The 22,667-nt window shown below is 40.6% G+C and overlaps 3 pseudogenes, besides 4 other annotated features; 1 reads left to right on the top strand and 2 right to left on the bottom strand.

Annotated features, from left to right (window-relative positions):
* OCIAD2P1 (OCIA domain containing 2 pseudogene 1) lies at positions 2,438 to 3,051 on the top strand (annotated as a pseudogene).
* Positions 4,378 to 4,910: an enhancer, noted in NCBI's record as "H3K4me1 hESC enhancer chr8:81478341-81478873 (GRCh37/hg19 assembly coordinates)". NCBI's record gives its function as "activates a minimal SCP1, AML or CMV promoter by ChIP-STARR-seq in primed H9 embryonic stem cells {active_cell/tissue: H9 hESC(primed)}" and the evidence as "EXISTENCE:reporter gene assay evidence [ECO:0000049][PMID:30033119]".
* Positions 4,911 to 5,445: an enhancer, noted in NCBI's record as "H3K4me1 hESC enhancer chr8:81477806-81478340 (GRCh37/hg19 assembly coordinates)". NCBI's record gives its function as "activates a minimal SCP1, AML or CMV promoter by ChIP-STARR-seq in primed H9 embryonic stem cells {active_cell/tissue: H9 hESC(primed)}" and the evidence as "EXISTENCE:reporter gene assay evidence [ECO:0000049][PMID:30033119]".
* Positions 7,021 to 7,681: an enhancer, noted in NCBI's record as "NANOG hESC enhancer chr8:81475570-81476230 (GRCh37/hg19 assembly coordinates)". NCBI's record gives its function as "activates a minimal SCP1, AML or CMV promoter by ChIP-STARR-seq in primed H9 embryonic stem cells {active_cell/tissue: H9 hESC(primed)}" and the evidence as "EXISTENCE:reporter gene assay evidence [ECO:0000049][PMID:30033119]".
* RNU7-174P (RNA, U7 small nuclear 174 pseudogene) lies at positions 10,391 to 10,449 on the bottom strand (annotated as a pseudogene).
* RPSAP47 (ribosomal protein SA pseudogene 47) lies at positions 11,189 to 12,222 on the bottom strand (annotated as a pseudogene).
* Positions 11,814 to 13,013: an enhancer, noted in NCBI's record as "BRD4-independent group 4 enhancer chr8:81470238-81471437 (GRCh37/hg19 assembly coordinates)". NCBI's record gives its function as "activates an origin of replication core promoter dependent on BRD2, P300/CBP, MED14 and CDK7 cofactors, and independent of BRD4, by STARR-seq in HCT116 cells {active_cell/tissue: HCT116}" and the evidence as "EXISTENCE:reporter gene assay evidence [ECO:0000049][PMID:35650434]".

Raw genomic sequence — 22,667 nt, 5'->3', positions numbered from 1 at the left:
TTCTGCCTCCTATGACACTCTTAAACATAGATTACCTCATGGTAACAATACTGTTCTGGAGCAGAAAGATACCCATCTTACATAGGAAGACATTGAAATCCAAAGAAATGGATCTCAGGTGAAATACCATGCTCATGAGACCATAACCTAAAGTTTCAAGCAGTAGGCAAAACTGGAATTTTTTGAAATCAAGGGAAGCTTTATGTTATCCAATAATACTTTCATTTTGATTTTTTAAAGGCTAATGATAAAAAATTAAAAATAAAAACACAAAAGTACAAAAAAAGCTAATGATGAAACTGCACATTTAGTAGTTAAATACTAAAACAATAAAACAGGGCCGGGGGCGGTGACTCATGCCTGTAATCCCAGCACTTTGGGAGGCCTAGGCAGGCAGATCATTTGAGGTCAGGAGTTCGAGACCAGCCTGACCAACATGATGAAACCCCATCTCTACTAAAAATACAAAAATTAGCCAGGCATGGTGGCACATGCCTGTAGTCCCAGCTACTTGGGAGGCTGAGGCAGGAGAATGGCTTGAACCAGGGAGGTGGAGGTTGCAGTGAGCTACGATCCCACCACTGCACTCCAGCCTGGGCGACAAGAGTGAAATTCCATCTCAAAAAAAAAAAGACAATAAAACAAATTAAAGATGATATTGAATTCTTTAATTATGCAGTTTAAGCTTACATATTTGAAAATATGAGTAAACTTATTTCCCTCAAAAATGCCAAAAATTGCTATCAAATAGACTCAGCTATTTTTAGGAACTTTGGAAGTATAAAAGTTGAAAATTTTTCTTCATGTTTGCCAATTTGAAAAACATCCTATTGAAGAATGTGTGCATGTGTTTGTGTGTGTGTGCGTGTGTGTGTTGAACTGTTCCTTGGTGTGTGACTGTGCCTGTATAACTATTCTGATGGGGCTAAGTGTGACCACCGCATGGAGTAATGAAGAAAGACCTGTGTTTCACTGTGTAAGAAAAAATATCTAGTTTCTTCAAAAAAGAGAAAATCCCTATTTACTTACTTCCTCATGAAGGACTCCTTCAGAAGGAGCCATGAGGTATGAAAAGGGTGTTATTTCTAGGCAGTGTTTCCAAAAGTGTAGTAGGGTAGATAATTTTATGTGGCATATGAATAAACATTTTTATTTGAATAATTATGCTTTTATTTTTATCATTCCTCTCCACTCTCTCCTTCAACACTCACAGCCTTGGTACCACCGTCTGCCTGTGATCACTGGTTTTATTCACAGCGTCTATTTGGGTCCTCATGTCTGCTGCCACCCGCCAGGCCCTGAAGGTCACACCTCGCTGCCTACTCCCCACGTAACTCTCTGCATCGTCTTTTCTGACCCTATATCCCTGTATTCTCTAACTAGAGGAACCCTTACCTGTGTCCTCTGCAACTCACAATAAATCATCGGCCAAAACTCAGTTTAGAGAACCAAGTCTAACTGTCTTTCCAATAAAGCAAAGCCATTCCCTGTTAACCAAGAGTTATAGGTGACAGTGAATGGCTTGCTTTCTGTTTCAATTATTTATTGCTATGTAACAAATTGCCCCAAACTTAGTGGCTTAAAACAACAAACACTTTGTTTGCTTTTTAAGCTTCTGTGGATTGATAGCTCAGCTGGCAGTTCTTGGTGTCTTTCAAAAGATGCCTGGAACTAGAGGCACCAGGAAGCCCCACCAGGAGGCCAGCCTCCTCCCTCTCCAATGCAAGGCATGTGGTCTGTCTGTGTGGTAGTTTGGGGGTCCCAGAAGAGATGGAAAATGGAAATTTCCAGGCCTTCTCAGGACTTAAGCCAAGAGCTGCCACAGCGTCACTTCTGCCACCTTCTATTCATTAAGCAGTCTCAAAGCCAGGCCATATTCAAGGAGAGAAGAAATAAATTCCACCTCTGAGGGGTCGGGGGTGGTGATAAAGAATTTGCAGTCTTTTTTAGTCCATCCCAGTTTCTCAAGCAGGAGAGTTCCTTTTAGTTTTCTATGCAGAACACTTTGAGAGTTTCTAAATCTATTTACTATTCTTTGGGATAGACTTAAATTCCCTGGGTAGAAAAAGCATGATGTTTCCCCAGAGCAGTACAACATTGAGGTCAGGAGCTGGTTCAAACACACTGTAAGTGATTATAAAATTATGTACACATGAGTACATATAAATACTACTTGCCTTTCAAACAACACTCTGAAATCCAAGTTTTACAACCATGAACCTCACTTTGAAGGCGCTCTCACATTCTCTACTTTCTTAGAAATTAAAATTTATTTTCCAGTCCAGGCTGTGGCAGTCACCGAGGAAGGAGGCCAGCTCAGCTTGGCAGTGCCAGGGACATGGACTTGGGGAACACCCCCCACAGACTGTGAGCTCCTTCAGCAGTGATTGTGTCTTATTCTTTTTCATGTCTATGCATGCCCTTGCCTGACACGTAACAGACACCCAGCACTGGGTCAAGGAGTAGGCCGAGCACACTCAACTGGAAGAAAAGCAAACACGAAGTCATCATGCCCCCAATATCTACTCATGGAAACCAAGAGAAAGGTCCCCATTTGCCACCACCAAGCAAGCAGAGACTGTTGTTTTATCCAAAATCAAACTGCACATCCACAGAGGAGAGATTTCAAACATTATAAGAGGATGTCAAGAAGAAAGTTTCTGGAAGAGAGCTCTGCCTTTTTCTCCTGTAAGCATGCTCATCACCCAGGGACTAGTCTGCCAAGGTTATTTAGCAGCTAATCCAAGATTTGGATCATTGCCTGAAGTTACACTTGTTGGTATATTGGGATTGGCCTTGGAAAGGTATCATACATAAGAGTATGCCAGAGTAAATTCCATTTCTTTGAAGATCAGCTCCATGGGGCTGATTTTGGTCCACAGCAGAACAGGCACTGATTGCTTACCTGTGAAGAATGCAAAATAAAGCATGGATTCAATGAGAAGAGAAGTTCACAGCCTTTGGCTTCCTAAACTCTGTGTCTATGATTTTTGAAGATTTTTTTATCCTCTGAATTGTACACATTTGAAATTTCAAGTGTAGTTTTAAATATTTTATTTTAAATATTTTGTTTTAAATATTTATTTTAAATATTTTGTTGTAAATATTTATTTTAAATATTTTGCTCCACTTGATTTATTTTACTTCTAGTATTTATTTACTAGAAGTATTGTTCCACTTCTATTGGAATAAAAATTATTTTCTAATCAGTAAAAGCATTTCTGTCCACACCTTTAAAAGTTAAAATTATAAATTATCAATTATAAATTTATTCACCCCAAATAAATGTAAGCAAATAAAAGACATTGTGTAAATTAACCTAGCATGGGAACTCTTCCTGCTTTCATTTAATCTCACCTCCCTCTGTAAAATTTCCCAGCGTATTACACTTTCAGGATATGTGTCTCCATTTCTGTTCATTTCACCATCTACTGATTGCTTCTTCTTTTTATTTAAACTTACAAACTTATTTCAGGTAATTAAAGTCAATCTGTAGGAGGGAAGCCATGGTATGGACAATTCAAAAATCACTCATAGCTGGGCGCAGTGGCTCACGCCTGTAATCCCAGCACTTTGGAAGACTGAGGCAGGCGGATCACGAGGTCAAGAGTTCAAGACCGGCCTGGCCAATATGGTGAAACCCCATCTCTACTAAAAAATACAGAACAGTAGCCGGGCGTGGTGGCGCTCATCTGTAGTCCAGCTACTCAGGAGGCTGAGGGAGGAGAATCACTTGAACCTGGGAGGCAGAGGTTTGCAGTGAGCTGAGATCACACCACTGCACTCCAGCCTGGGCGACAGAGTGAGACTTTGTCTCAAAAAAAAAAAAAAAAAATCACTTGTTCAATTTGGTAAATATATTGGCACTTACATTTGAGTGGCTGTATGATGTTTTTCAAATCAAATCTTTTTGCTCTGTGGGGAAAATTGCCAATTTTGCTCAGTTGCTCCTGAGCAGTCACTCCCAGCAATTTCACCTATACTAGAAGCAGATGCTAAAAGATTTGCCTTCCCTCTGGCAAATTCTGTGACTTCTCTGGGACTGGGATCGACAAATGTTTGGGTTCAAAGGGCTTTTCTCTTTGCAAAGTAAACAGAAGGAACAGAGATGTGAAGAGCGCAAGTAATTAAGTAGGAATATATTGTCAATTACCTGGAAGGTACTTTACAGATTGTCAAGTAAATGATGATACCTCCATCATCATTCATTGGTGATATTTGTTAATGCATGTGCAATGTGCAGCACTGAGGTGAACAAACTGAAAAACAGCCTCATGGTTATTTAGGTGATGTGAGGGTTCCATCAGCCCGGACACTCATCTACAACAAAACAGCAGTTCTTTAAATCAGAGCTTTATAAAGATACTACAAGGAGTAACCGATGTGATAATGATTGGCCCTCCACTGCAGTATAAGAACTCCCTGCATTTTACAATGTCAGATTTATGTATGACTACAAATATATTAATTTCCAGTCCCTCTTTATTCTCCTAAGAATCTTAGCCAAGTGTGTAAGGGGATAATTCCCATCCTTGATGGGAGTCTTCTTCCCAAATTATCCAAGTTCTCCTGGTCCTTACAGGGGAACCTCTTCCCGGGGAGCCCCTGAGAGGTAGCTTTTTAAGTTCAGTTTGGAACAGATGACTTTGGGAAGGAAACTCTCCCAGACTTTGATACTCCTGTGAAAGACATGCAAATTCCTGCCCCTCATTTCTTGTTCCAGGGGAATTGCTTCCCGTTTGCACCAGGCTCTGCGCGATCAGCCTTCTGCCCGACCAGTTCTCAAAGTGCCCAGCTGCGTCCATGGGAGGGAAATTTTGTTTTCTCCTTTAGCAGAATTGGGGGGCCGGCTGACGTGAGAGTTTCCCAGGGCAGAAACATGGGTGCCCTGGTATTTGTGTGACGTCCCGAACCGCGCCACACCGGGAGGCCTGAAGGTGGCGGTGGAACCGGTGTTCCGCGCCCGCCCCCGCGCGCCTGGGGTCTGGGAGGGCAGAGGCTGTCACTGTTTAACTTGGGGCCATCCTCGCATAGCACCTCTCCTTCGACGCCAGCCTCTGCAGGTAACCGTAACATACGATAGGAGGAAAGACGAGAACACCCACGCAGGCCAAGGTCAACTAAAGGCTTCTAAAAACAAAATCTGTAAACTGCCCGTAAGGAAGTAGCCTGGAAGCTTCCAAGTAGCCTTGGGGGGCGGGAGCGGGGACGGGGGAGATCTTAAAATGCTGAGGAAATACTAAGCGAGGTTTCAGGTGACAAAGGAAAGAGAAAATACCACACAATTTTCCTAAATTAGCTAATTAGTAAAATCCATTTGAGAAAAGGACTTGAGATTCAACCTAAAATGAACATTTAAGTTCCCTAAAAAGTATAGTGAGAATGGAAATGGACTAGAGCTGTTAAGCCTCAAAACTAGCCGGAATGCCCTGACAAAGAGAGGGGGTGCCTTATGCGTTGAAACCTGCTCTAAATATGGCTAAAGTTTTGCAATAAAACATACTTTCTACTATAATTTGTGTTTGGCAAAATAGAATGCCCCAAATAAAAAAAAAACAGTATTATTACCTATTAGGAAACTTCTGTCTGGCATGGTGGCTCATGCCTGTACTCTCAGCCCAGCACTTTGGGAGGCTGAGGTGGGAGGGTAGTTTGAGCCCAGGAGTTCCATGCCAGCCTAGGCAACATAGGGAGACACACCTCTATTTTTTTTTTAAAGGAAACTTCTGTATGTAATCATTTCTTACATGTAAGGTGAGATAATGCCATCTGAAAATTTTTTAAAAACCAATATTATGCTTTTAAAAATAACACTAAATCACTAGCAGCGGGGGACATAGAAAATCAGCGTCTCGGTTAGGGTAAATAAATGCACTTTGGAGGGCCTCAGTAGAACACCTCTATGCTTGTCTTACACCTTCATTTTCTGTAGGTTTCTAGAAGCTTAGCGGTTCACTGGGGTAGGCTGCCTGCGTTGGCCAGTGCAGAGGACCGATGGCACTTGCAATCTCCCTCTCTAGATTTATGACGCTGCAATCTCCTTGTCGAAGTAATGGTACATTTTTTTTTCTTTTATTGTTGGCTTTTGCCTGGTTTTTTTTTTGTTTGTTTGTTTTTTGTTTTTTTTTTATTTTTTATTTTTGTTCTGCAGATAAATACAAACTAATAAAGAGACACTAATTCTACTTTTCCACTTTTTTTTTTTTTTTTTTTTTGAGATGGAGTCTTGCTCTGTCGCTAAGGCTGGAGTGCAGTGGCGCCATCTCAGGTCACTGCAACTTCTACCTCCCGAGTTCAAGTGATTCTCCTGCCTGAGCCTCCCAAGTACGTGGGACTACAGGTACATGCCACCTTGCCCGGCTAATTTTTGTATTTTTAGTGGAGATGGGGGTTTCACTGTGTTGGCCAGGCTGGTCGTGAACTGTTGACCTCAGGTGATTCGCCCGCCTCAGACTCCCAAAGTGCTAGAGTTACAGGCATGAGCCACCATGCCTGGCCTTACTTTTTCACTTTTAATTTTTGTACTAAGTTCTTCTGTTTGTTTAGTGATATAATGCAAAAGTGATAGTATTGTCATTTTGATAAAGTCAAATTTAAGCAATTAATCCAACATTTTGCATATTTGGTTAAAGAAAAACATGATTGACTTTAAAATTCAGAAGCTAAAAAAAATTAAGACAAGATCTACTTGTTTTAAATAGGAAAAGGAAAAACTATATCGTCAGTATGTGTGTATATTTAAAAAGAAAAAACTGTATCTCCAATATGTGTGTATATATGTATGTAATTGTGTGTGTATGCAGTGTGTGTGAGAAAGTGTATGCAAACAAGTCTTATTTGACTGTAGCACCTTATTACTGATATTCTCTCCAGTCATATATCATGGTCAAGCAAGATGCATTGCTCTAAAAACGTAAAAGACACAATTGCAAAATTGTTCGTACTTCCAAATTTGCATCCATAAACTTTCCAAAGTTGCATCATTTTTGCATAGTGAAATGTCTTTGTAATAAACACACTAAAAGAAATTGTCTTTGGTTTTGCAGTTCAGATACAGCAGTTAGCCTCCTAGAGCCTAACAAAGTTTCAGTGAAAGTTAGAGCCCTGAATAATTTAGAGAAGCATGAAAACAATTTAGCTTTCCTACAGCTTGTTCTGTGAACCTCAATGAGAACCTGTATGAAAGTCGGTGTTTTTTTGTTGTTGTTGTTGTTGTTGTTTTTTTAAAAAAAAAAAAAAAAGGTGAGGGGAGGGAGTAGAATTCCTTGTTGAAAACATTTTGGGAAACATTTTATATCCTCCCTGTTGGAGACTCACAACATACATTAACATATTAAAGACTCTTAAATTTATGCTTAATTGATTTTCAACAAAGGTGCCATGGTAATTCAATAGAGAAAGGATAGTCTTTTCAACAAATGGTGCTAGGACAATTCAATAGCCACATGCAAAAAGATATATTTAAACCTTTGCCTCCCACATCATACTCAAAATTTAACTCCAAATGAATCATAGATCTAAATGTAAGAGCTAAAACTGCAAAACTCTTAAAAGAAAACATAGGCATAAATCTTTGTGACCTTTGTAGGTACAACAAAGCACAAGCACTAAAAAAAATTGATAAATTGGACTTTGTCAAAACTCAAAACTTCTGTGCTTCAGAAGACACCATTAAGAATAGTGAAGAGAAAAACCACAGAGAAAAAACATGCAAATCATATCTGATTAAGGCCTTGTATCTAGAATATAGAAGGAACTCTTGCAACTTAATAATAAGAAAATTACCCAATTTTAAAATGGGCAAAAATTTGAATAAACATTTGGGTAAAGAAGCTATATGAATGGTCAATAAACAAATGAAAAGATACTCATTATTGGTCATCAAGGAATGCAAATAGAAACCACAATGAGATACTACTACATACCCACTAGGATGGTTAGAATCAACAGACAATGACAAATGGTGGTAAGGATGTGGAGAAGCTGGGACTCTCACACACTGTCAGTAGAAATGCAAATGGTGCAACCACTTTGGAAAACGTGTGGAAATTTCTTTAAAAGTTTAACATAAGTTCGCCATATGATTTACAATTCCATTCCAAAGTATATACCTAAGAGAAATATAAAAATGTGTGTCCACACTAAAACTTGTACTCAAATGTTATTCACAGTACCACAAAGTGAAAACAACCCACATGTCCATAAACTGATGAATGGATAAGCTAAATGTGGTATACTTATATGGAATACTATTTAGCAATAAAAAGCAATGAAGTATTGATACATGCTACAAAATGGATGATCCTCAAAAACATTACGCTAAGCCGGGTGCAGTGGCTCATGCCTGTAATCCCAGCACTTTGGGAGGCTGAGGCAGGCAGATCACCTGAGGTTGGGAGGTCGAGACCAGCCTGACTGACATGGCAAAACCCCGTCTCTACTAAAAATACAAAATTAGCCGGGTGTGGTGACACATGTCTGTAATCCCAGCTGAGGCAGGAGAATCTCTTGAACCTGGGAGGCGGAGGTTGTGGCGAGTCGAGATCGCGCCATTGCACTCCCCCCTGGGCAACAAGAACGAAACTCCATCTCAAAAAACAAAACAAAACAAAACAAAATCATTATGCTAAGTGGCGGGGCAGAGTGGCTCATCCCTGTAATCCCAGCACTTCGGGAGGCCAAGGTGGGAGGATCACTTGAGCCCAGAAGTTCCAGCTTGAAGTGGGCTATGATTGCACCACTGCACTCCAGCCTGAGTGACAGAGCAAGATCTATTGTATAAGTCCATTTATATAAAATTTCTAGAAAAGAGAAATCTATAAAGACAGAAAGTAGATTAGTGGTTGCCTGGGGCTGGGGTGAAGAATAGCGAGTGATGGCAAATAGAAACAAATTTTTTTTGAGGGTGGTGAAAATGTTTTAAACTTGAATTTTGGTGACGATTGCATAAGTGTAAATACACTAAAAATCATTTAATTGTTCCTTTAAGACAAGTGAATTTCATGGCACATAAATTATACCTCAATAAAGTTGTTATTTGTTTAGAAAGAAAGGGTGTTCTCTTTTCAAACAATTTGGGAAACATTTTATATCCCACTTCTTGGAAAGTCACAACATATATTAACATATTAAAGAACAAGCAACTCTATAATAAAGAAACCTATTTAATTTTAAATCCAGCATAAACCAAATTTATGTGACCACAAGAATTTTTTTAAGTTATGCCAATTACACCTCTTCAAAATGAGCATTAAGGGAAAAATAATCAGGAGCTGCTGAAGGTAGTTTGTTTCACTCTCTGTCCCTTAACTTCTCTCTTTTTTTTTTTTCTTTTTTTTTTGAGGTGGAATTTCGCTCTTGTTGCCCAGGCTGGAGGGCAATGGTGCTATCTCAGTTCAGTGCAACCTTTGCCTCATGAATTCAAGCGATTCTCCTGCTTCAGCCTCCCGAGTAGCTGGGATTACAGGCGTCTGCCACCACGCCCGGCTAATCTTGTATTTTTCATAGAGATGGGGTTTCACCATGTTAGTCAGGCTAGTCTCGAACTCCTGACCTCAGGTGATCTGCCCAACTCAGCCTCCCAAAGTGCTGGGATTACAGGTGTGAGCCACCACGCATGGCCCCCTTAACTTCTCTAAGCCCTTAAGTCCAAGAAAATGGCATATACTTTACTAATCTCTGAGGTTTTTTTTTTTGCAAAAATAAATGCAATTTATATAATTAATGAGTCCATACACATCAGTAAGCTGGAGAGGTCTTCTCACCCACCCGTCACTGCCATTGTATATACAGGATTTCTGCTGGGGTGTCAGGCTGAGAGGCTGAGATTAAAAAGTAATTGTCATTGAAGCTGAATGTAATTGATTACATAATTTGCAGTTGTTCAAGATTAATTCAATGAAAATTACATCATAAAATTAGGGCATTAACAAGGATTACTGTCAAAAGGAAAGTAGGTGTGAATCAAGCAACTGACTTATATATGACTCATACCCAAAAGCACCCTGGGTTCATATTTGGATCATATATAACAGTTGAATGACAAACATGTCCTCACTAGATGTAATTAGGGAAATAATTGATGCAAACCCTACACTACACAATTCTCATCATGGGAACCACAGTTGGAAAAATCTGGAAGCCCCTGATGTGTGTGTCTGTTGTTTTGTATGGGGGTGGGGTCATTGTTGCAGAAGAAGGTATGAAAAAATTTTGATCAGAATTGTTACATAAGGAAGGAGAAGCAGAATTTTTAAAAATGCATTAACAAGTAAGATGTGTTCTGCAAACAACTCTCCTAAACTTTTTTGTCAGACAGGAATGATTGTGGGGATGAGAAATGGATGACTGATTTATTATACCCAATTGATTATTTTTTTTTTTTTTAGCAGAGGATTTTCTGGTCACTGGAAAACCTACTAGACGAATTCTAAAAGAGCTGTAACACTTCTGATTGTTTTAATGTAAATAATTTCTTATGGCTATATTAACAAAGAACTATTACAGTCACATATATGGATTTTTTTTTTTTTTGAAATGGAGTCTCACTCTGTTGCCCAGGCTGGAGTGCAGTGTCACGATCTCGGCTCACTGCAAGCTCCGCCTCCCGGGTTCACACCATTCTCCTGCCTCAGCCTCCCGAGTAGCTGGGACTACAGGCGCCCGCCACCACTCCCAGCTAATTTTTTGTATTTTTAGTAGAGACAGGGTTTCACCATGTTAGCCAGGATGGTCTCCATCTCCTGACCTTGTGATCCACACACCTCGGCCTCCTGAAGTGCTGGGATTACAGGCATGAGCCACCAAGACTGGCCAAGGTGGATTTGTTAATAAAATGATACTTTTTAATGATACTTTTGGGAAAAATATTGGCTTCTATCAAGGCACAGATTATGTTATTAGCCCCTTGTCTTTATTCCAAATATATGCAAATAATGATACTGATATAAGCCCAAAAGATGCCAGACAGAATTTCAGGATATTGGTTTTCATATTTGGGAAATGAATATAAACTTTCGATGGAATTATTTGGATATATGCTGGGTAGAAGGCAAAATGAACATTATAAGACACCATTTTAAATAACTTTGGCATCAACCTATCAGTAATTACTTGTAACTAGAATAATCTTTTAAATGAAAGTGTGTATAGAAGAAAGCCAGTGTCACCCACGATTAAACTTTTTTTTTTTTAGAAACTGATGTTTATTTTCCATCCACCATTTTTCCATATTGCTTAAGAGCCTATGCAAGAACAGCTTAAGACCATTCAGTGGTTGCTCCTACCCATTCAGTGGCCTGGGCAGTGGGAGCTGCAGACCAGTCTTCCGTGGCAGGCTGAGCGCTGCAGTCTTCAGTAGGGAACTGCTGAATAGGCACAGAGGGCACCTGCACACCTTCAGACCAGTCTGCAACCTCAGGCTGAGTAGCAGTGAACTCAGGAGCTGGAGCAGTCCTTTCACCCTGAAATTCCTCCTTGGTCACAGCCTTTTCAGCAGCAGGCTGCTCTTCTTTTTCAATCTCTTCAGGATCTCTGTAGAAGCAGAAATCAGGCATGACCTCCCACGGGTGTTCACGGGAAATGGTGCCACGCATGCACAGAACTTCCCAAGCCAGCATCCACCACATCAAACCCACTGAGTGAGCTCCCTTGTTGTTGCATGGGATGGCAATGTGCACATAGCGCAGAGGAGAATCTGTGTTACACAGAGCAATGGTAGGTAGGTTAACATAAGATGCCTCCGTGAAAGGCTGGTGGTCAGCCCTGGGGTCAGTAACCACAAGAAGTCGTGGCTCCTGGAAGGCTGCCTGGATCTGGTTAGTGAAAGTTCCAGGAGTGAAGCAGCCAGCAATTGGAGTGGCTCCAGTGGCAGCAGCAAACTTCAGCACAGCCCTCTGGCCAGTATTCCTGGATGATATAACACTGACATCAGCAGGGTTTTCAATGGCAACAATGGCACGAGCTGCCAGCAGAAGCTTCTCCCAGGTCCTCTTCAGATTTATGATGTAGATACCATCACTTTTCCTTTTATAGATGTACTGTTCCATCTGGAAGTCAAGATTGGTGCCACCTAAGTGGGTTCCTGCTGCAAGGAACTTAAGGACATCCTCCTCCTTCATTTGCAGGACATCAAGGGCTCCGGACATTGTGAAAGTTTCCCTTTAAGTTACGACGGGAATCCAGAACAACGCCGTATGGACCCCTCTGTAGGTAGCGTGGAAAGCGATTGAACTTGTTAAAGCAAGGTGAGAAAAGCAAGAACTTTTGGATACTCTCTAAAAATCTGAATTTGTGTTTCAAGTACAGATGTAAATTACAGCTTAATAACATGCTTATGGGAGAAGAGCAAGCCAAAAGGGCTGCAGGTATGCAACTCCAGACCACTCTGAAAACCCAAAATGTTTTAGAAAGTCAAGATAACTTAACGCCTTCCTGCTAGCTGCACCCCCTCCAGGTTAATCTATTTTTTATTCATAATCTATTTTTGTTCTGTATCACGCTTTTTTGTAAAGTTTGTGGCTCAATTACTTCTATTTTCCAAATTCTACTTCCCCTTCTTACTGGCTTTCCTTTGCTAGTTTTAAGGTTTTCCCCTCAAAACCAGGGTTACCTCACCTCTGATGGCACCCCATCTTCATATATTCTTCACAACTCTTCAGGTAAACTGGATCCTCGTTTTCTCAAAAACAGCTTTGCAATTCCTGATGTGCATTTGCTATCTTATAAATAAAAAAGTAAAATATTATTTGCTCCTACTTATACACAAATGTTTCTTATTAACTCCAGATTGGATGAATAGTTGAGGATTTTGAAGAAGTTAGGTGGAGAATTCAGGCAAAGGCTCTTTTTAGGAAAAATAGGAATGGGAATAGAGCCTATTTGTGAGGTGGCTGTGTCCACCTGGAAGCCACTTCTTCTATCTGCATAGATATGATAAAGGAAAGACCCACCCCATCAAGACTTTCTCCATATTTATGTGTCATTTCCTTTCAGCCTATAGCTCAAAATGATCTCTGTTCTCTCCTGCTGGATTCAAGCATCATTAAGTACTTAGCAATTGTTTTAAATAATTTTGAATAATAATAATATAATCACCTTCACGGAACATAGAGAAAAATTAGAAAAGAAAATAAAATCACCCTTTTTTCCGCTACCCTAAAGCAATCTTTGTCAGGGTTTTAATACATTTCTTTCCTTTTTCTATCAACTTAAAGATCTCCCCTGTTGCCAAAAGTTCTTCATAATCATAATTTATAAGCTATGCATAATCCAATATTTTTGAAATATTTAATTTTTTGACATTTTAAAATCACAATACTGTGATGAATATCTTTCTGCATATACTTTATCAATATTTGGGGTTTAATAATTATCTTTTATTAACCTTAGCTCTCCAGGACTCAAGCAATAGGACAAAGCATGTCTTGACGTCTATTTATTCCAACTTCATATAGGAGGGTATCCCACTGTCAGCAGGTAGAAATGCTAGCATTTGTTCATTTGGCTGTCTAAAGGAATGCAGTCTTGTTAGTCTAAGCCAAAGACCGTTGTGAACTTGATGGATGTCATTTTTATTTTTTTATCATTATTATTATTATTTTATTTTGAGACGGAGTTTTGCTCTTGTAGCCCAGGCTGGATTGCAATGGCGCAGTCTCGGCTCACTGCAACCTCAGCCTCCCAGGTTCAAGCAATTCTTCTGCCTCAGGCTCCCGAGAAGCTGAGATTACAGGCATGCTCCACCACACCCAGCTAATTTTTTTGTATTGTTAGTAGAGACAGGGTTTCACCATGTTGGCCAGGCTAGTCTCAAACTCCTGATCCCAAGTAATCCACCCACCTCTGCCTCCCAAAAGTGCTGGGATTAAAGGCGTGAGCCACTGCACCCGGCTGATGGATGTCACTTTTAAAGAAAAAATAGGTAGTTTGGCTTAAAAGGGAATAAGGGGGAAATTCACCTCTAATAGCGTTTTGTTCTTAATAAAAAATACTTTACATTTAATCTTCATTAAAGGACCAAGACAATGTTATTCAAGGTTATATGCTGCAGTGTTTTAATAGATTGAAAGGGTTGATAACTTAAAGTTGGTTTCTTCAATCTCATTTTTCATTGTTTCCTCCCAAATAACGTATTTCATTGTTAATATAAAAGTGCACTGTTGTACTCGCAAAAGAACTTGGCAGTTCATAAAGAATGGGAAAAAAACATATGCAAATCTTTGCCAATCTCCAAGTCCCTTAAGGTTAATTTAACTGTCACAAGTAATTTTCCAAGAAAGAAAGCAGCCTGTGTCCATGAACCAGCCAGTTAACTCATCTACACTTGCAGCGTGCATTTTCCTCCTGTGTAATTTTTTCATCACAGTATGACTTACTGTGTCAGAAGCATTGATAAAGGTGGCAACCACGTTCTGTTCACACTGAATATTTGGGCAAATCTTTGAGCAAATCTTGAAGTCATTCTGCAGCAGGTAATGGGTCCTTCATCACAAATTCACAAATCACCAGCATTAGATAATTACACTACCCATCCATAATTCTTTTGTTAAGTGGCACGTCCATGCAATCACCGTACATGATTCTGAACACATCAGTAAGATACTAGGGCCAGGCGCGGTGGCTCACGCCTGTAATCCCAGCACTTTGGGAGGCCGAGGGGGGCAGATGGCTTTAGGCCAGGAGCTCGAGACCAGCTGGACCAACATGGTGAAACCCCGTCTCTACTAAAAATACAAAAATTAGCCAGGCGTGGTGTGCATGCCTGTAATCCCAGCTACTCGGGAGGCTGAGGCATGAGAATTGCATGAACCCAAGAGGCAGTGGTTGCCGTGAGCTGAGATCACGCCACTGCACTCCAGCCTGGGTGACAGAGCGAGACTCAGTCTCTCTCTATATAAAATAATATATATTCAGTAGTTACAATTATGCATATATATTCAGTATATGTATATTCAGTAAATAGTTACAATTATACATATATACAACATTATACATGTACATATACACATATATACATTATACATGTATATATACATATATATATAGAGAGAGAAGAAGTGTTTGCCACGATCATTCTGTAATCACTTAAAATATTTTTTCTGCCTCCTCAAAAAATAAACTCTGTGCATCACAAATACATTTTTAATGTTTCTGCTTGAAATTAGCAGGTTCTAATTAATTTTTTCAGGGTGCATTTGGGGTCATCCTTCTTGTTCTAATCCTGCTTCCATCTGACCATGTTGTTTCGCACTGCACCAGGATTAAGAAACAAGAAATAGAATGGATGGCTCTGGGCCCCTAACCCTTCCCTCCATTTCCACTGGCATGTGAACTCACGGTGACCTGTTCTGGTTATCTCTTGCTGCATAACAAGCTACCTAAACCTGGTGGCTTAAACAACCATCATTTATTTTGCACATGCATCTGCAATTTGGGCAGGGCTCTGCGGGGACAGCCTATTTCTTTCCATGCAGTGTCAGCTGGTGACTCAACTGTTAGGGGCTGCAACCATCCGAGTCCCTTACATATCTAGTAGTTGATGCTGGCGAATGGCTGGGGCCTCAGCTGAGGCTGCTGCTGGCTGGAACACCTGCATGTGGCCTTTCCATATGGGATCTTGCCTTCCTTACATAGTGTTTGGATCCCAAGAATGTGTCCCAAGAGGATAAGGCAGAATGTATGGCATTTTTACGACCCATCTTTGGAAGTCATATGGCATCACTTCCAGCTATATACACTGTTGATCAAGGCAGTCACGGAGACTGCACAAGTTCAAGCAGAGGGGATATATGCCACACTACTTGATGGGAGGAGTGTCACCTTCTCATTGTACAAGTAGCATGTGAAATGAAATATATTATGGTGGCTATTTTTGAAAAATAAAACCTACGGTCGCTAAATAAATCAGTCAGATGTAAAATATTCATTGAAAAAGACTTGCTTTTGAAAGTATTTGTTTACCCAGGTATTTAGATACTACCATTGGTATCTACATACCATTATATAAACCTTGCAGTATCTCAGGGATAGTACTCGTATGTGTTGAATACTATGCTAGGCACTAGGGTCCAAAGAGAAAAGGCATTATTAGCCTTGCCCACAAGAAGTGTATAATCTACTGGGAGAGACCCTTCAGTAAATAGTTACAATTATACATGATAGGCCGGGTGCGGTGGCTCACGCCTGTAATCCCAGTACTTTGGGATGCCGAGGCAGGTGGATCACTTGAGGTGTGGAGTTGGAGACCAGCCTGGCCAATGTGGTGAAACCCCATCTCTACTAAAAATATAAAAAATTAGCCAGGCGTGGTGGCGCACCCCTGTTATCCCAGCTACTTGGGAGCTGAGACAGGAGAATCGCTTGAATACAGGAGGCAGAGGTTGCAGTGAGCCGAGATCGTGCCACTTAACTCCAGCCTGGGCAACAGAACAAGACTCTGTCTCAAAAAAAATAAAAAATAAAAAATTAAGTGTGATAAATGCAATAATGTAGATAAATATTGACATATATATGAAAAGAACACTGCATCTCATTCTGTCTGAGTGAAACACAGATGCCTTCATAGGGGAGGACTCCTTTATGCCAGCTCTTTCAAATTCTGGTAATAAAAAAGGGGGGAAATCATTTATATTGAAGGAAGGGGGAATTCCACTGCCATATTTCTAATGTAGGCACCAACTTCAAGGCAATTGGAAATAAACGACCTTGCACTTGGAATATTCTGGTTGCATCTTGAGTTCAAATTCTGATGTATCTCAGTAAGTCATGCCTGACTTAGCAATGCTTTAATGTCGCACAAAAGAGAATCACTCATTAAAAACGATAAATTATTATGTAATAGGAAATATTATAAACATGATAACTCTAAATACCTGACAGATTTCCATGAAACAATTTGGTATTGGTTTCCAAACAATTATTTACCAATAAATATGTATTGAATGGTTATTTGCCATTGTTCTTAAAATGCATTGGCTCTTGAATACAAAGTGTTCTTTTTTTTTGTTTTTGTTTTTTGTTTTGAGACAGAGTCTCGCTCTGTCGCCCAGGCTGGAGTGCAGTGGCGCGATCTCGGCTCACTGCAAGCTCCGCCTCCTGGGTTCACACCATTCTCCTGCCCCAGCCTCCCTAGTAGCTGGCACTACAGGCGCCCGCCACCATGCCCGGCTATTTTTTTGTGTTCTTAGAAGAGACGGGGTTTCACCGTGTTAGCCAGGATGGTCTCAATCTCCTGACCTCGTGATCTGCCCGCTTCGGCCTCCCAAAGTGCTGAGATTACAGGCGTGAGCCACCGAGCCCGGCCGCAAAGTGTTTCTTAATTACTCCTAAAACAAACTTAAGCCATATCTATGTGAGAACAAAATAGATGTTTTTGGATAAAAAGTAAACATCCAAATCCTTTTTCACCTTCTTTTTTTTTTTTTTTTTTTGAGATGGAGTTTCGCTCTTGTTGCCCAGGCTGGAGTGCAATGGCTTGATATCGGCTCACCTCAATCTCTGCCTCCCAGGTTCAAGCGATTCTCTTGCCTCAGCCTCCCGAGTAGCTGGGATTACAGGCATGCACCACCAGGCCCAGCTAATTTTGTATTTTTAGTAGAGACGGGGTTTCTCCATGTTGGTCTGGCTGGTCGCGCACTCCCGACCTCGGGTGATCCGCCCACCTCGGCCTCCCAAAGTGCTGGGATTACAGGTGTGAGCCACCATGCCCGGCCTCATCTATGTGTTTTAAACATAGATGAGATCATTTTATAAATATTGCTCTGAATCTTTTTTACTTACAAATTGATGATGGGTATCTTCCCATGTCAGTTCACATAGTTCCACTTGATCCTTTTTAACATGTCATGATGCTATGTTTGTACCATAATCCAACCATTCTCTATTTATGGATGTTAAAACGTTTCCATTTTTTCACTCTTACAAATGATGCCACAGGGACCATGCATATGCATTCAATAAATAATCTAATCAATAAGAAATACAAAAAGGAAATATACAGTAATATTAACAATGATGTTGCTGGGTGATGAACTGTGAGTTGTTTTGACTTTTCTATATTTTCCAAAATTTTATTTTGTTAGTAATATGAAAAATAGATTCTGGTTTTTAAAAAGATATCAATGCATCAGGCTGGGCATGGTGGCTCACGCCTGTAATCCCAGCACTTTGGGAGGCTGAGGGGAGCAGATCACCTGAGATCAGGAGTTCAAGACCAGCTTGGCCAACATGGCAAAACCCTGTGTCTATAAAAAATACAAAAATTAGCCAGGCATGGTGGCGGGCACCTGTAATCCCAGCTACTCGTGAGGCTGAGGCAGGGAGAATCGCTTGAACCTGGGAGGCGGAGACTGCAGTGAGCTGAGATCGCGTCACTGCACTCCAGCCTGGGCGACAGAGCGGGACTCCATCTCAAAATAAATAAATAAATACAACAAAAAGATATCAATGCATCAGATGCATAAGATAGCCAGAAACAGGTTACTTATTATATAAGTTGGTTTACATTTGGTTTTAATTCTACTTCCCATTTCAAAATGTTTGTTTCTAAGGGGAGTCTTCCAGACAGAAGCTTCCTGATTGGCCTACTCTTCACTCTGTTTTTACTCCAACTGGGCAAACAATATAGGAGTGACAGAAATATTTTGGGTAAACAGCTAAGAACAGGTTGAAAATGCCTTCCTTATTTGGATAGCTTTTAAAGAAATACCTTCTTGCTTGTGGGTTTATCTACTGGAAAGCTCATTTTCTCTTTGAAAAGCGCACACTTTGTTAGAAGTCAGCACAGCAGTTACCTTTGGATGGGGAAAGGGTTCCTGGGAATAATGGGCTTCCAGGATGCTGGTAATGTTCTGTTTCTGTACGTAAATGTAGAATTTACATACAGATGTGCTCAATTTATGAAAATTCATCAAACTGTACAAGTTTGATGCTTGCATTTTTTAATGTATATGCTATTCTTCCCTTACAAGTTAGAAAACAAACAAACAAACAAGGGGCCATGGGAAAAAAGATGCTGTAGTTTTGGTGGGTCCAAAGAAATCCATGCAATAAAGGGATGAAGCAAGGGGACTGGTAATTTAGGGAGTACTTTCAGGACAAAATGTTATCACCCTACCATTCAAGAAAATGAGAAAAAGCAGCTAATGGCGAAATTTCCACCATATCAAATGTCTTTTGCTTTTAATAAATATAATAATATTGCAGGCTTTGTCTATTATTCCTTTATTTTATCCATAAAGTGGTCACCATGCTAGTGACTTTCTTTTCCAGGTCAATCCTGGAAACCTTTGTCTACCAACACCTTAACGCATTAATTAATGATGCCCTGTCTCTGCCTCTCCACTGGTTCTTTTCTCTCAACCTGTAAAAATATTCAAATCTCTTCCTATCCCGGAAAATTCCTCCCCACAACCAGGCTCCTTCCCAAACATTTACCCTCATTTCCTGTCATTTCCTCTCCTTTCAACTATCCCTTAACTGCATGCAACTCAAAAATATTATGTTGGTCTATTACATTATTTAATTGTATTGTAATCATGTATGTGTTACCCACACCCACATCATCAGACTGGAAGCAGGAAAGAGGCTATTCATCATCGTATTATCAAACCAAGTAAAATGCCTTTCTTTCTAAAGACTGTGTTTATTGTTACCACTAGGAAACTCTTGAGTAAAGAGTTTCTTATATCACGGCACCCCCAGTGCCATGATATAAGAACACACTTGTGGCCAGTCATGGTGGCTCATGCCTGTAATCCCAGCACTGTGGGAGGCCGAGGCAGGTGGATCACCTGAGGTCACGAGTTCGAGACCAGCCTGGCCAACATGGTGAAACCCGTCTCTACTAAAAATACCAAAATTAGCCGGGCATGGTGGCAGATACCTGTCATCCCAGCTACTCAGGAGGCTGAGGCAGGAGAATCGCTTGAACCCGGGAGGCGGAGGTTGCAGTGAGCTGAGATTGTGCCATTGCACTCCAGCCTGGGCAATAAGAGTGAAATTCCATTTCAAAAAAATAAAAATAAAAAAGAAGAGCACACTTGCCTCCTTCCTCACTCCACCACTATCTCCCTTGGTGTTTAGGTCTCTTCTGATTCAGGTTCCCTAAGACAGCCCACTGCTGCGCACCCAACAGGGGAGGAAGTTTGGTAACTTTAAACAAGCGGGTTAGTCCTCTAAACTCTGGACAAGTAGAAACCACATTTCTCCTGCTCACCACTGTATTCCCAGTAACTGGCCAAGTGCTTGACTCCTGGCAGATGCTTCATAGGTATTCCTCTAATAAGTGAAATGAGGAATGAATGAATTAGTGAAAAAGAAGTGTAGAAAGTGAATATGAAGTAGATTAGAAAAGCTTCTTGGGCTGGTGCAGAGAGGACATTTCTAGCTTTCACCTTTTGCCACACTTTAGAGCAATGTTTTTCAAACTACTCATTAAGACTAATTAGTAAGTGGGAAAAACAATTTTGTGAGTCACAGCTGAGTTTTAAAAATGGAATAGGGTAGCTCACGCCTGTAACCCCAGCACTGAGGGAGGTCGAAGCAGGAGGATTGCTTGAGCCCAGCCTGGGCAACACATGGAGACCAGACCCCCCAACCCGGCCCTTGTCAAAAAAAAAAGCAAACCCAGGTGTGGTGGCAAACACCTGTGGTCTCAGTTGCTCAAGGAAGCTGAGGTGGGAAGATCACTTGAGTCCAGGAATTCGGGGCTGCAGTGAGCCAAAATTGTGCCACTGGACTCCAGCCTGGGCAACAGAGCAAGACCCTGTCTCAATAAATAAATAAATAAAAGTTAAATATAAAAAAATGAAATAGGATAAAACAAAACAAACAGGAGAATAGAATAGGATTTCAGACAGAAAAATGGAATGAAAAAGGAAAGAAAATATCAGTAAATTGCAAGTGGTAAGGGAAAGAAATATTTAATACAACTTTTTCTTAGTTATATGTATACATACATACAGAATGCCTGTTCTAGATTCCTATTTGCAATATTTCTTATGTGTATCAGGGTCAAAAAACTGGTAAGCCACTGCCCTAGTAGCCTGTGAAGGATAGAGTTAATGGAGCTTCAAAAGGCAGATAACCAGGAGAGAATTAGCTTATCATAAAGATCAGCAAAGTTTGAGCTGCTTATTTCTTTATTATTTTTTGTTATCTTTTGGTATTTTTGGCAGCACAAAGTCTTCTAAACAAGTTAATCTTCAACTCAAAGGCTTAGTTCACTTTGAAATGTCCAGAAATCTTTCTTGAAATAGTGGAAGATAAATTATCTGTTTAGAATTTATTACAGTACCAATTGTCACAAAAGCACACTTTACAGGGCTCACTGCAGAAATAGCATGCACTATTTCTTTCTCTTTGTCAAAAAATTGAGTTTTAATATATTTCAGAAACATATACATGGAATTTGATAAAGTTTCACAATATTTTTGCTTGTTTCTTAATTCTTTCAACATGTTTCTCAGGGTTGGGTCTGCCTTTACATTTTCTTAATTCACTAGCAGTTTCTTCAGTTTCTTAATGAAATAGCACTGGTTTGTATTTTTATTTTATTTTATTTTTAAAGTTTCTTTTCTTTTCTTTTCTTTTTCTTGAGGCAGAGTCTTGCTCTGTCACCCAGGCTGGAGTGCAGTGGCGCCATCTCTGCTCACTGCAACCTCCACCTCCTGGGTTCAAGCGATTCCCCTGCCTCAGCCTCCTGAGTAGCTGGGATTACAGCTGTGTGCCACCACACCCGGCTAATTTTTTTTTTTTTTTTTTTTTGTATTTTTAGTAGAGACAGGGTTTCACTTTGTTGGCCAGGCTGGTCTCAAATTCCTGGTCTCAACTGCTATGCCCACCTTGGCCTCCCAAAGTGCTGGGATTACAGGTGTGAGCCACCAGGCCCAGCCTGTGTTGTTGTTTTTTTTTTTTTTTTTTTTGAGATGGTGTCTTGCTCTGTCACCCAGGCTAGAATGCAGTGGTGCGATGTCGGCTCACTGCAACCTCCACCTCCTGGGTTCAAGAGATTCTCCTGCCTCAGCCTACTGAGTAGCTGGGATTACAGGTTCCTGTCACCAAGCCTGGCTAATTTTTGTATTTTGAGTAGAGACAGGGTTTCACCATTTTGGCCAGGCTGGTCTCGAACTCCTGACCTCAGGTGATCCACCTGCCTTAGCCTCCCAAAGTGCTGGGATTAAAGGCGTGAGCCACTGCGACCAGCCGGCCCAGCCTGTTTTTATGTTATATATCTAATTTCGTAGCCTTATTTCCAGTCAAATTGAGTGGGTTACCTTTATTATGATCAGTTCACTTTGATTTTCTTTGACCATGCTAACCTTTAGCTGAAAGTTATAGAACCTGCTATTGGATCTTGCTCTGGACACCGTATCTGGCAAGAGGCAATTCCCAGAGCCCTAGCTAGAGATGAGGGATTACATCATCAGTAAGGTAGGGGCACAGTGTACTCTGAACATTCCTGGATGACATGCTTGCCTATAAAGGCAGGGGTGGGTTAGAATGGGAGGAAGGATGACGTCAAAGAGATCTTGAAAAAAAAAACAAAAACGAAAAAACAAAGGTATCTCGCTAGTAGGTCTCTTGGCTTTCAGGCTCTGTCTTACAGCAAGCTGTTTGAGTCCAGGAGTTCAAGACCAGCCTGAGCAACATAGCAAGACCCCATCTGT

This window comes from Homo sapiens, chromosome 8 (assembly GCF_000001405.40).
Source record: "Homo sapiens chromosome 8, GRCh38.p14 Primary Assembly".
Taxonomy (NCBI): domain Eukaryota; kingdom Metazoa; phylum Chordata; class Mammalia; order Primates; family Hominidae; genus Homo; species Homo sapiens.
Note: the sequence above shows the minus strand (reverse complement) of the source record. Positions and strands in the feature narration are given on the sequence as shown.